This window comes from Homo sapiens, chromosome 12 (assembly GCF_000001405.40).
Source record: "Homo sapiens chromosome 12, GRCh38.p14 Primary Assembly".
NCBI classification, from domain to species: Eukaryota; Metazoa; Chordata; class Mammalia; order Primates; family Hominidae; genus Homo; species Homo sapiens.
In genome coordinates this window covers 7071033-7083650 of record NC_000012.12, presented here as the reverse complement: position 1 = coordinate 7083650, position 12618 = coordinate 7071033, and the positions used below count along the sequence as shown (strand labels likewise).

Below are 12618 nucleotides of genomic sequence, written 5' to 3'. Positions count from 1 at the left end.
CACCACCAACACCATCATCCCCACTATGACCACTATCATCGTCATCATCACCACCAACAGTAACACCATCACCACTATCACCATTACCAACACCACTGTCGCCACTACCATGATCACCACCACCATTACCAACACCAATATCACCACCACCACCATTGCCAACACCAACACCACCATCACCTCCATCACCATCATCACTATCACCATTACAAACACCACCATCATCACTACCATTATCACCACCACTATTACTAACACCATTACCAACACCACTGTCACCACCATCATTACCAACACCAACACCACCATCACCACCAACACCATTACCACCATCACCATTACCAACACCATCATCACTACCAACACCATCACAGCAAATACTACCATCACCACTACCACCATTAACAACACCACCATTAACAACACCATCACCACCAACACCAACACCACAGTCTTCACCACCATCATGACCACTACAGCTAACTCAGTGAAACTCCCCTCTCCATTCTCCCCCTCAACCTAGTTGTGATTTTTGCACTTAGTTTTACTAAACGACTCTCACTCATTAGTGGGTATTTTTCTAACTTTTTTTAAATATTAGAAATCACATGCATTATAGGTTTGAAACACAGAAAAAAGGGAAAAAATCTGGATTATAAATGGTATTCATTAAGAGCTGGGCTTTGGAGTCAGAAAACCTCTTGCACCTTGGTTCTGGCACTTAGAAGTTATGTGACCCTGTGCAAATTATTTAAACTCAGTTTCCTCATCCACAAAATGAGGATAATAACACACACCTGCAAGTGTCACTATAGTGTTTAAATGAGATCGTGCAGATAAAGTGCTTAGCAACAAGCATGGCACATTTTCAGCAATCAGAAGATGTAGCTACAATTATCGTCTATGATTCCACGACCAAGATGCAATCACTGATAAGATTTTGATATATTCCTTCTGGTTTTTATGTCTACTTTCACAAGCAGGGATCACAGCAAACATATGTTAATAGTTAAGCATTCTGGCCAGGCGTGGTGGCTCACACCTGTAATCCCAGCACTTTGGGAGACCGAGGCAGGTGGATCACGAGGTCAGGAGATCGAGACCATCCTGGCTAACACGGTGAAACCCTGTCTCTACTAAAAATACAAAAAATTAGCCGGGCATGGTGGCGGGCACCTGTAGTCCCAGCTACTTGGGAGGCTGAGGCAGGAGAATGGCATGAACCTGGGAGACGGAGCTTGCAGTAAGCCGAGATTGCGCCACTGCACTCCAGCCTGGGCAACAGAGTGAGACTCCGTCCCAAAAAAAAAAATAGTTAAGCATTCTGATTTTTTTACTTGGCATTAAAACAAAATATAGGTCTAGAGCCTCTGAACACTTGACATTCTTTCCTTCTAGAGTTGAGCCTTTGACCTTTGGCCCTTGCCATGTTGGCTCCTCCCTGCCCCTCTCCCCATCAAGCACACTCAGTACTTGCTGGCCTCTGCAACCTAGTTTTCTTACCCATCACCCCCCAACTTGATTCTTGCCTCCTCTGCCCTCAGGGGTGTACACCTGCACAGCACAGGGCATTTGGAAGAATGAACAGAAGGGAGAGAAGATTCCTCGGTGCTTGCCAGGTGAGTGGAAACCCTCTGGGGCCATCATCAGGGTCTTTAGCAGCCTGCAGGGCCTCAAAAGCAGTGTGGCCCAGAAAAAGGAGAGAGAGGAGAGAAGAGGGGAACATCCCAGGAGAAAGGGAGAGAGGGACAGAGTGCTGAATTCAGTCCCGAAATGCTGCCATTTTCACTAAGCAGATGGGAAATCAGGGAATAAAAACAATGGGAGACCCCCTAGGAAGAAATAAACAAGAACAAGGGGCAAGACGTGGTGGCTCACACCTGTAATCCCAGCACTTTGGGAGGTCAAGGCAAGCGGATCACCTGAGGTCAGGAGTTCGAGACCAGCCTGGCCAACATGGCGAAACCCAGCCTCTGCTAAAAAGAGAAAAATTAGCCAAGCATGGTGGCACATGCCTGTAGTCCCAGCTACTTGAGTGGCTGAGGCACAAGAATTGCTTGAACCCAGGAGGCGGAGGTTGCAGTGAGCTGAAATCGCGCCACTGCATGCCAGCCTAGGCAACAGAGCAAGGAGTCTCAAAAAATAAAAATAATAATTTAAAAAAAAAAAAAAAACAAGAACAAGAAGAGCCTGTCAATAGGCCAATGACGGAGGTGTGGGGATGGGAGGAGAAAGAGAAAAGAGACAGAAGCCAAAAAGAGAGGGCAAACAGGGAGCTGGCTGGCTGCAGAAGGAAGAGATGTGGGACCTGGAACTGACTTGCCCTTGTCTTCCCTGTCTCTCCCTCAGTGTGTGGGAAGCCCGTGAACCCCGTGGAACAGAGGCAGCGCATCATCGGAGGGCAAAAAGCCAAGATGGGCAACTTCCCCTGGCAGGTGTTCACCAACATCCACGGGCGCGGGGGCGGGGCCCTGCTGGGCGACCGCTGGATCCTCACAGCTGCCCACACCCTGTATCCCAAGGAACACGAAGCGCAAAGCAACGCCTCTTTGGATGTGTTCCTGGGCCACACAAATGTGGAAGAGCTCATGAAGCTAGGAAATCACCCCATCCGCAGGGTCAGCGTCCACCCGGACTACCGTCAGGATGAGTCCTACAATTTTGAGGGGGACATCGCCCTGCTGGAGCTGGAAAATAGTGTCACCCTGGGTCCCAACCTCCTCCCCATCTGCCTCCCTGACAACGATACCTTCTACGACCTGGGCTTGATGGGCTATGTCAGTGGCTTCGGGGTCATGGAGGAGAAGATTGCTCATGACCTCAGGTTTGTCCGTCTGCCCGTAGCTAATCCACAGGCCTGTGAGAACTGGCTCCGGGGAAAGAATAGGATGGATGTGTTCTCTCAAAACATGTTCTGTGCTGGACACCCATCTCTAAAGCAGGACGCCTGCCAGGGGGATAGTGGGGGCGTTTTTGCAGTAAGGGACCCGAACACTGATCGCTGGGTGGCCACGGGCATCGTGTCCTGGGGCATCGGGTGCAGCAGGGGCTATGGCTTCTACACCAAAGTGCTCAACTACGTGGACTGGATCAAGAAAGAGATGGAGGAGGAGGACTGAGCCCAGAATTCACTAGGTTCGAATCCAGAGAGCAGTGTGGAAAAAAAAAAACAAAAAACAACTGACCAGTTGTTGATAACCACTAAGAGTCTCTATTAAAATTACTGATGCAGAAAGACCGTGTGTGAAATTCTCTTTCCTGTAGTCCCATTGATGTACTTTACCTGAAACAACCCAAAGGGCCCCTTTCTTTCTTCTGAGGATTGCAGAGGATATAGTTATCAATCTCTAGTTGTCACTTTCCTCTTCCACTTTGATACCATTGGGTCATTGAATATAACTTTTTCCAAATAAAGTTTTATGAGAAATGCCAGTGTGCAAAATGAGTCAAAAGTTGTATTTAATTTATATAAAAATATTTTGTAAGGAAGGTCATATTTAAAATATTTACTCAGGAAGGCAACAAGAACAGTTAAGTTTATGCACACATTTACAATTAGGGTTATGGATAACAATAAATATCTGTGTTTTGTTTTGATTGTACAATATAAAGAAAATGCTGATTTTCCCACATGCATAGTTGTAAATATAACAGCTTTTTTTTTTTTTTTCAAGACAGACTCTCACTCTGTGACTCACACTGGAGTGTAGTAGTGCAGTCTTGGCTATCTGCAACCTCTGCCTCAGGGTTCAACTGATTCTTGTGCCTCAGCCACCTGAGTAGCTGGAATTACAGGCATCTGTCACCACTGCCCAGCTAAATTTTTTGTATTTTCAGTAAAGACGGAGTTTTGCCATGTTGGCCAGGCTAGTCTCGAACTCCTGACCTCAAGTGATCCGCCTGCCTCGGCCTCCAAAGTGCTGGGATTACAGGCAAGAGCCACTGCACCCAGCCTATAACAGCTTTTTTAACAGCTCATCTTCCAGTCTCTAAATATTCCTTAGGAGAGGAGTGCTATGAAATTTTTGTTTCCAAGCTGAATCACTAACAATATTGTTAAATCACTTGTATTCTTTAAGATCTCTAAAAATCAGAAAAGGACACAGAACTTGGATTAAGCATTATAAGTATTTGTAATAGAACAGTATCATGGTGTTATTGCACAATTGACTGTTCCAGACTTGTTTAAACAACTTTACATGACCCAGCACACACAGGCCTGAACTTCAGAAGACCAGCAGAGTTAAAACATTCCCAAGTGATGAGTTGTTTTTTTTTAACTTTTTTTAAACTTTTTTTTTTTTTTTTTTTTTGAGACAGAGTCTCATTCTATCACCCAGGCTGGATGCAGTGGCACAATCTCAGCTGACTGCAGCCTCCACCTCCCAGGTTCAAGAGATTCTCCTGCCTCAGCCTCCCGAGTAGCTGGGATTACAGGCGCCTGCCACTATGCCCAGCTAATTTTTGTACCTTTGGTAGAGATGGCATTTCACCATGTTGGCAAGGCTGGTCTCGAACTCCTGACTTCAAGTGATTCGCCCACCTCGGTCTCCCAAAGTGCTGGGATTACAGGCATGAGCCACCGTGCCCAGCCCTCTTCTTATTTTAATAATCGGAGGAGTTCCCAGGAAACTCAGATGACTCCTCTGACCTTCTAATTCCCATTCCCCCACCCCAAACTCATATGTGTCTTATTCTCAAAGTGCACTGGAATAGGAAAGTACAGGCAAAACCAATGATCTGTGAATAGATGGTTCACAGAAAAGAAAATATAAATTGCTTTGAGGCTTTGGGGCTTAATTTCACTCATAATAAGGAAAATATTTAAATAAAATGCCATCTTTTTACCTGTAAGATTGGCAAAAATAATATACCATGTTGTTGAAAATGTAAAGAAAAAGACACTCTCACACATTGCTTTTCGGAATGTATCCCTACAGAGAGCAATTTGGTAACAGGTAACCAAAATTACAAATACATATGCCTTTTCACTCACCAATTCAACTTCTAGGAATTCAGCCCACATTTTCTCACATATGAAATAAACCGCACATGTAGGTTAGTCATTGCAGCATTGTTTATAATAACAAAATATTGGAATCCTGCATTCTGAAAGGTATCTGGTACCAAAGTTTCAGGTAAATTATGGAATATCCAAATGATGAAATGCAATGTAACCATTCAATCCTTACTACAGACAGCATGGTAAGTGAAAACAAGTAAAATGCAGAATGTATAAAATATTATGTATAAAACGCTACCGTTTCCATTTGTAGCCAGGTGGTGGCACATGCCTGTAGTACCAGCTACTTGGGAGACTGAGGTGGGAGGATGGCTTGAGCCTGGGAGGTCGAAGCTGCAATGAACTATGATCACACCACTGTACTCCAGCCTGAGCGACACAGCAAGGCTCTGTCTCAAAAATAAATGAAATAAAATAATAAAATGCTACTATTTGTATACATAACAGGAGTAGGCATATATCACTTACATGTGTATAAAAGATCACTAGAAAGATATACAAGAAATATTGGTGGTCTCTGGGGGGACATAGGAGTGGAAGGAAAAGTTATCACTGTATGCTGTTTTGATCTTTCAAAGTTTTAACCATGTAGGTGTTTTACCTATTCAAAAAATAGATGGTGCTCTTTAAATAAAAAAAAAAATTAGGCTGGAAGCAGTGGCTCATGCCTATAATCCTAGCACTTTAGGAGGTCGAGGCTGGAGAATCATCTGAGCCCAGGAGTTCGAGACCAACCTGGTCAGAACCAACTGGTGACATCAGATGTTTAAAAAAAAAAAAAAACAAAAACCGTGAAAGAAGACTAACCCGGGCAACATAGTGAGATTCCATCATTATAAAAAATTAAAAATTAGCTGGACATGATGATGTGTGCCTGTGGTCCCAGCTACTCAGGAGGCTGAAACAGGAGGCACACTTGAGCGCAGGAATTCGAGGCTGTAGTGAGCAATGTTCTCACCACTGCACTCCAGCCTGGGCAACAGAGCAAGACTCTGTATTTAAAAAAATATAGAAAATAAGAATTTAAAAATTGTAAAGGAGTAGCCTCATTGAAAAAGTTGACATGTATCAAAGATCGGAGGAAGTTAGACATTCAGAGACCTAGGGAAAGAATATTCCAGGAAGAAGCCAAGGGCCCTGAAGTGAGCAGCTGCCTGATCCATCAGAGAATGCGCAGGCAGCCACGCCATGTTCTGGGCAGAGTGCTCCGTGTGCACACATTGAAAGGCTCATGCTGGCTGCTGAATTGAAGACATACTACAGCTGAAAAAGGGCATAAAAAGGACCAATTCGGTGGCAATTACAGTAATGCAGGCAAGAAGTGATGGTAGCTCAGAGCAGGGGTGCAGTGGAAGTGGTGAGAAGTGGTCAGATTATGGATAAAACTTAAAGAAGAACCAAAGGGTTTCCTGACGGAGTAGACACTGGAAGGGGAGGGGTGAGAAAATGGTGTCAGCTTGATGGGGATGAGTACGAGACGAGCAGGTCTGATAGGTTCTGTCTGGAACATGTTGATTTTCAGATGGCTACTAGTTTAGGGCCAAGAAGAAGGAGATTTACCGACCTCCTGAACCAAACAACAACAAAGAAGACTAAAATACATGAAACAACGGTTTTTGAGACACTGGACATTGGACAAAAAAAGACAACGATGCCTGAGAGACTGGGCCCATTTTACTGCCTTGAGAGAGTTTCCAAGCTGAGTTGCTAGAAGGAGAAATCCAGGTAGGACTCAGTCAGCTCCCTGACTTGAGGAGACACAGGCCCAGATCCAGGAAACCAAGGCCCCTGGAGGTCACAGAACTGAGGATCAGGGAGGAGAAAGGTACACAGAGAGATGGCCAGAAGTCTGCAGAGGATCCCACAAGTATTTAACTGAGTACTGCTCAGCACTCACATGTGAGAAAACTACCTGGGGATGGGGAGAATCCCAATAACATCAGCAGAGGGAACGCCACCCGGCAATCACCAGGCCTGGGAACAGTGCCTGATGCCACCAGCCAGCCTGGAAACCGTCATGCCCCACAGGGCATTGGGAAGAGAATGCAGGAGGCTCTCGCCTCTGTTGTAGGGCCCAGGCTGACCAGGACCATGACCACCAAGGTAGGAGGAAAACCTGGGGAGCTCAGTGCTCAGAAGCCAAGGAAAGAAAGTGCATCGAGGTGGAGATAAAGACTGAGCATCCATCCTTGGATGGAGCAATGTCAGAGTCATTGGTGACCCAGAAAAGCACAGTATGGTGGAATGATAGGGGGAAAAGCCAGAGCCAAGTTGGAGAGAGAGCGGGAGAGTAGGAACTGGAAACAGGGTATAATCAATTATTTTAAGGAATTTGCTGCAAACGGAAGCAAATAAATAGGGAAAGCTGTTGGAGGAATTGTGGTCAAGAGAAGTCTGTCTTAAGTTTAGAGGAATTACAACATGTTAACATACAGATAGGAATTACACAATAGGGAGGGAAATGGTGATGGGGTGGGTGGAGATGGAATCGAGTTGGAAGCATGGATAAGTCACCAACGGATAAGTTAACACACATGCCAGCTGAGTGTAAGGGAACAGATGCCAGTATTCCAGTAGATGTGGTGGTGGTAGAAGCTCTCTGCTAGGTTTCATGTGTCTTGGTGAGGTAGAAAATAAGGTCATCAGCTGAGAATGAGGATGGAGAATTTCAGGGGTGTGAGAAGAGAGAAGAAATGAAATAGTCATCTGGGACAGTGGGATTGAGAATGGATTAGGGAATTTTGATTGCCTGGGAGCATGAAGGGTTCATTTGAGATTCATGGCCAACAGTTAAAAGGGAGACAGTTGTTCTTTTGTGAGACATTCTCACCTTTTTTGAGACAGTTGTGTGAGCTTGTGTGTTTTCCCCTAGCCACTAGCAGCCGTACCATTCAGGCACACAGGAAGCAGGGTTTTATTACGTCAAGTGAGCATATTGAAACCAAAGAAGAGCCAGATGTGGTGGCTCATCCCTACAATCCCATCACTTTGGGAGACCATGGAGAGAAGATTGCTTGAGGCCAAGAGTTCAAGACCAGCCTGGGCAACATAGCGAGACCCTGTCTCTACAAAAAAATTAAAAATTAGCCAGGTGTGGTAGTGCATGACTGTAGTCTCAGTGTCTCAGGAGGCTGAGGTGGGAGGACTCCTTAAACCCAGGAGTTTGGGGCTACAGTAAGCTGTCATTATGCCACTGTACTCCAGCGTGGGCAACAGAGTGCGACCCCGTCTAAAAGAAAGAGAGAGAGAGAGAGAGGAAGGAACAGAAGGAGGGAGGGAAGAAGGGAAGGGAAGGAAGGAAGGAAGGAAAATAACAGGCATGCAGGAAAAAAAAATCATATTTTCAGAGGATAGATGATGACAGTGAGGACAACACAGGACACCAAAACGGAGGCAAGCCACCAAGGACCGGGAAAAGAGACCTGAAAGGCTTAGGGCCACTTAAGGCAAACTCGAGACAACTTCGTAAATTGCTGGAAAAAAATTCTACATAAATTGTATCACAATTATGTGGCAGAGCAGGTAAAGTTCATCTAGGTCCAACCTAGGTGTTCAGTGTTTTCCAAAACCTCTCCTCGGGGGTCTCTGTCAAGCCTTTTGGGGTCAGCCCTGCCCCACACAACCGGCCTCTGCTTGGCCCTATGAGAAGGCCAAATTCTCCCTTTTAGGTCTTCTTCAGTCCTACTCAGATCTGACACACTCACCTGCAGTGGCCCCAGGATTCTTCTCTGCTGTCCTGACTTCTCCCCCAACTAGGTGCTCAGGTGCTTTTTTTGCTTTCATCCCTGCTTCCGTGCATTTTTATTCTGTGAATTTTTATTTCTGTGATTTTTTTTTTTTTGAGACAGAGGCTCGCTCTGTCACGCAGGCTGGAGTGCGGTGGCGTGATCTAGGCTCACTGCAACCTCTGCCTCCCAGGTTCAAATGATTCTTCTGCCTCAGCTTGCTGAATAGCTGGGACTACAGGTGCCCGCCATGACGCCCGGCTAATTTTGTATTTTTAGTAGAGACGGGGTTTCACCGTGTTAGCCAAGATGATCTCAATCTCCCGACCTCATGATCCGCCCGCCTCGGCCTCCCAAAGTGCTGGGATTATAGGCATGAGCCATAGCGCCCGGCCCTATTTCTGTGGATTTTTATTCTAGCCATCCTCTTTTATTTTTTCTGTTAAAAACCTTAAGTTCTTCTTGCTTTCTGTCTAAGAGAGATCAAGAAACATTTTCATTTTATCCATGAATAGGCAGATGCCCAGAAAAACCTGAGCATATTATGCCAAAAATATTTCACACTCAGTCCTTAAGCAATGAAGACAAAAGAAATGATTTGTTTCCACATTAAACCTAAAGGGAGATAGATACACAATGCAAACAGCCCATTTGGAGATGAGGCAGAACACAATGGTTACAATCAGAATGAGCTCCTTCCTGGCAGCTGCAGGTCTTCTGTGTTCTTTGTAGTCCCTTATAGAGGAAGAGAGATTTTTTTTAAAACAGATGCTTCCATTCAGGAAACTAGGTCCATCAGAGACTTTCCCTGTAGGTTTTGCTCTGGGGGGGGGGGGTTCCCCCGTTGTGGTTCCTGTTACCACAACTTCATCTCCCTCAATATGTCCAGTCTCTGCTTTTCTCTGGTTCAAGGGTGGACATACCCAAAATCAATTTCCTCTTAGGACAAATGAGAGAAGCTGGATCTTTCCAATGTGTCTTTTTATGATTGTAAGAGAAAATAAAAAAGGATGTGAGTACAAAACGTAGCAAGAGGGAAATCTTGGTAGTGATGGAATTGTTTCGTATCTTGACTGCAGAGGTGCTCACATGAGTCTCCAATGTAGTAAAATAACACAAAACTGCCCTTGCACATTGTACCAACATGAGTTTCCTGGTTTAGATATTGTACTGTAGTTACCTAAGATGTAGCCATTAGGGGAAATAGCGCCTCTCTGTACTAACTTTGCAACTTCTTGTGAATATGTCAAAAGAAAAAGGGTTTTGTTAAATCATTATTTTAAAAACCATGGCAGAGTTTGTGGATCTGATCAAGATTAAATAAAGCTGTGTTGTGTCCGTGTGTGTGTGTGTGTGTGTGTGTGTGTGTGTGTGTGTGTGTGTGAGACGGAATCTCACTCTGCTGCCCAGGCTGGAATGCAGTGGTGCCATCTCGGCTCACTGCAATACCAGGTTCAAGCGATTCTCCTGCCTCAGCCTCCCGAGTAGCTGGGATTACAAGCACCTGCCACCACACCTGGCTAATTTTTGTATTTTTAGTAGAGACAAGGTTTCACTGTGTTGGTCAGGCTGCTCTCAAACTCCTGACCTCATGTGATCCATCCTCCCTGGCCTCCCAAAGTGCTGGGATTACAGGTGTGAGTCACCACGCCTCACATCATATTTTCAATTTTTAAAATAATAACCAATATGCAGGAAAAAAGTCACATTTCCACTGAATATGTTTCTGATTCTAGCAGTCACTGTAAAGGAAACTTTAGAGTCCCAGGATCCCTTCTAGCCCCTTCTGGGCTGGTCCAGTTTCAAGTAGGTTCAAGCCCTCTTGACCACCGGACATTGTCTTTCCTCCCTGGCATGAGTTGCTGACCCACCAGTCCATTTTCTTCTGACCAAAGAAAAGTGACAATTCACCTTCTTCAAAAAGCTAACTCTTTTCCTGAGTTTCAGATGAAGCGGACATATGTTCCCAAGTAACTTGCAAGGTACTACGATGGATACCCTTTAAACACAATGAATGACTTTCTAGCCCCTCTAGGACCTGATGACAAGCTCTTCCCAGCTCTGAAGTCTCTGATCATGATTCATTTAGGTCTTCTCCCTGCCATTCACCCAGAGAAATGACCTTGCAGCACAGTCAACGATGCAAAGCCCATTCCCGTCATGCCGTACAAGGTGGCAGCAAAGAGGGAAATTCTTCACCAATACCTCAGCCCATCAGCAAGGGCAGAACCCAAATAGACTGGTGATTCTCCGAGAGGGATGAACTTCCTTTTTCTGTTACTTGTCAGATTCCAGGTTAATTTTTTGCTATTGCCCCAAGTATAAAAAAAGAAGAACAATATCCCTTTCACAGACCATGTTTCTAAATCTTAATATTCCTCCAATGCCTTTTTATCTCTAGAAGAATCCTCCTCTCACGGAAACACTCTCACCCAGGGCACACTGTCAACTCCATTGCTCCTGCAATGACAGGAAGGGTGAGGAGGTGGCTATGAGGCATACAGTTCAGGAGTGACACAGTGACTTTATGCTGCTTGGTTGACCATATAATCCTCCCAGGGACTCCCTGTTGTAATTCCCTTCAATTCTTCAGGCCCTTCAATTAGAGTTCCTCTGGTTACCTCATCACGTTTACCCTGCGGTCTAAGGTCAACTGTTGAATTTAGCCCTCTTGGTCTATGGAATATCAAAGTCCATTCTTGATGGGCCCAAACCAACCTTTTTTGGCTTCTAGTAAAAACTGCCCTCCTGAAAGCCACGTGTCACATCAAATAGGTCAGATTCCCCCTCAGCTCTTCCTCTCAGACCTCCGCTTTCCTAAGACGCCCTGTTAGGGCAACCGCTGTCCTAAGATAGTTGTCCTGTCCTCAGTTTTTAAAATGCTAAGTCTCTATTCTGTAGTCATTTCTCATCACTAATCATTCTTTTGGAAGAGGAATCTTTTCTTTTCCTTCCCCTAGAAAATAGAAGGGAGAGTTTTGGGGTCCATCCTTACCGAGATTTTCTGCTATGTCATCTTGGTACAGAGTTCAGTCTAATGAAAACATTGTCACAAATTGATTAAAACCACCAGGAAAGCAGACAAGAGCATGCTCAATTTCTTTAGTTTTTCTTTTTTGTTGTCATAATATTGCATGATACAATGAGTATTAGAGGAAAATTAACTTTCCGTTCACATATTGAAACAATTTCTACTTAAAGAAGATCTTAAACAGCCAACTCAAACTATTGTACATGGATTTCTGAATGAGGTGGGGTTTTTTTATTTTGCTTTGTTCCAGATAATGTCTCACTCTGGTTGCCCAGGCTGGAGTACAGTGGCATGATCACTGCAACCTTGACCTCCTGGGCTCAAGCGATCCTCCCAACTCAGCCTCCTGAGTAGCTGGGACTAAGGCACGCACCATCATGCCTAGCTAATTTTTATTTTTTATTTTTGTAGAGACAGGGTCTCCCTATGTTGCTCACACTGGTCTTGAATCCCTGGGCTCAAGCAATCCTCCCACCCCTGCCTCCCAAAGTGTTGGGATCACAGGTGTGAGCCACGCACCACATGACATTTAATGAGCTTCTTTTTTTTCTTATTTTTCTTTTCTTCTTTTTTTTTTTTTTTTTTTTTTGGCCAGGTAAATATTAATGAGTTTCAAAAGCAGAATGTGATGCCTTACACTGGCGATCTTCATACTAACCCACAATATTCAGTAAATCTCATTTGGAAGAGAGAAGAAAAGCTGAATTCCCTGTTTTCGTGACAATTAAATTAAATATTAGTTGCTGGATGCCCAATTTCAGTGACATAACAGCCTTCTCATCCCATTCCCCTTCTATAATTCTGAGGGTTTGGTGTGGAATGAGGTAAGTCACACAAAA

At 44.7% G+C, this 12618-nt stretch overlaps 1 protein-coding gene across 2 annotated transcripts in view, besides 1 other annotated feature; it reads left to right on the top strand.

Moving 5' to 3' along the window:
- The window catches only part of C1R (complement C1r), a 12227-nt gene extending 8795 nt beyond the window's left edge, over nt 1-3432 (top strand). For both annotated transcript variants that reach the window (NM_001733.7, NM_001354346.2), the window contains exons 10-11: nt 1545-1619; nt 2350-3432. In NM_001733.7, the coding sequence (NP_001724.4) occupies nt 1545-1619; nt 2350-3119 (845 nt within the window). In that variant the 3' untranslated portion in view covers nt 3120-3432. The remainder of the gene's footprint in view (nt 1-1544; nt 1620-2349) is intronic.
- Nucleotides 1947-2446: an enhancer, noted in NCBI's record as "H3K4me1 hESC enhancer chr12:7188509-7189008 (GRCh37/hg19 assembly coordinates)". NCBI's record gives its function as "activates a minimal SCP1, AML or CMV promoter by ChIP-STARR-seq in primed H9 embryonic stem cells {active_cell/tissue: H9 hESC(primed)}" and the evidence as "EXISTENCE:reporter gene assay evidence [ECO:0000049][PMID:30033119]".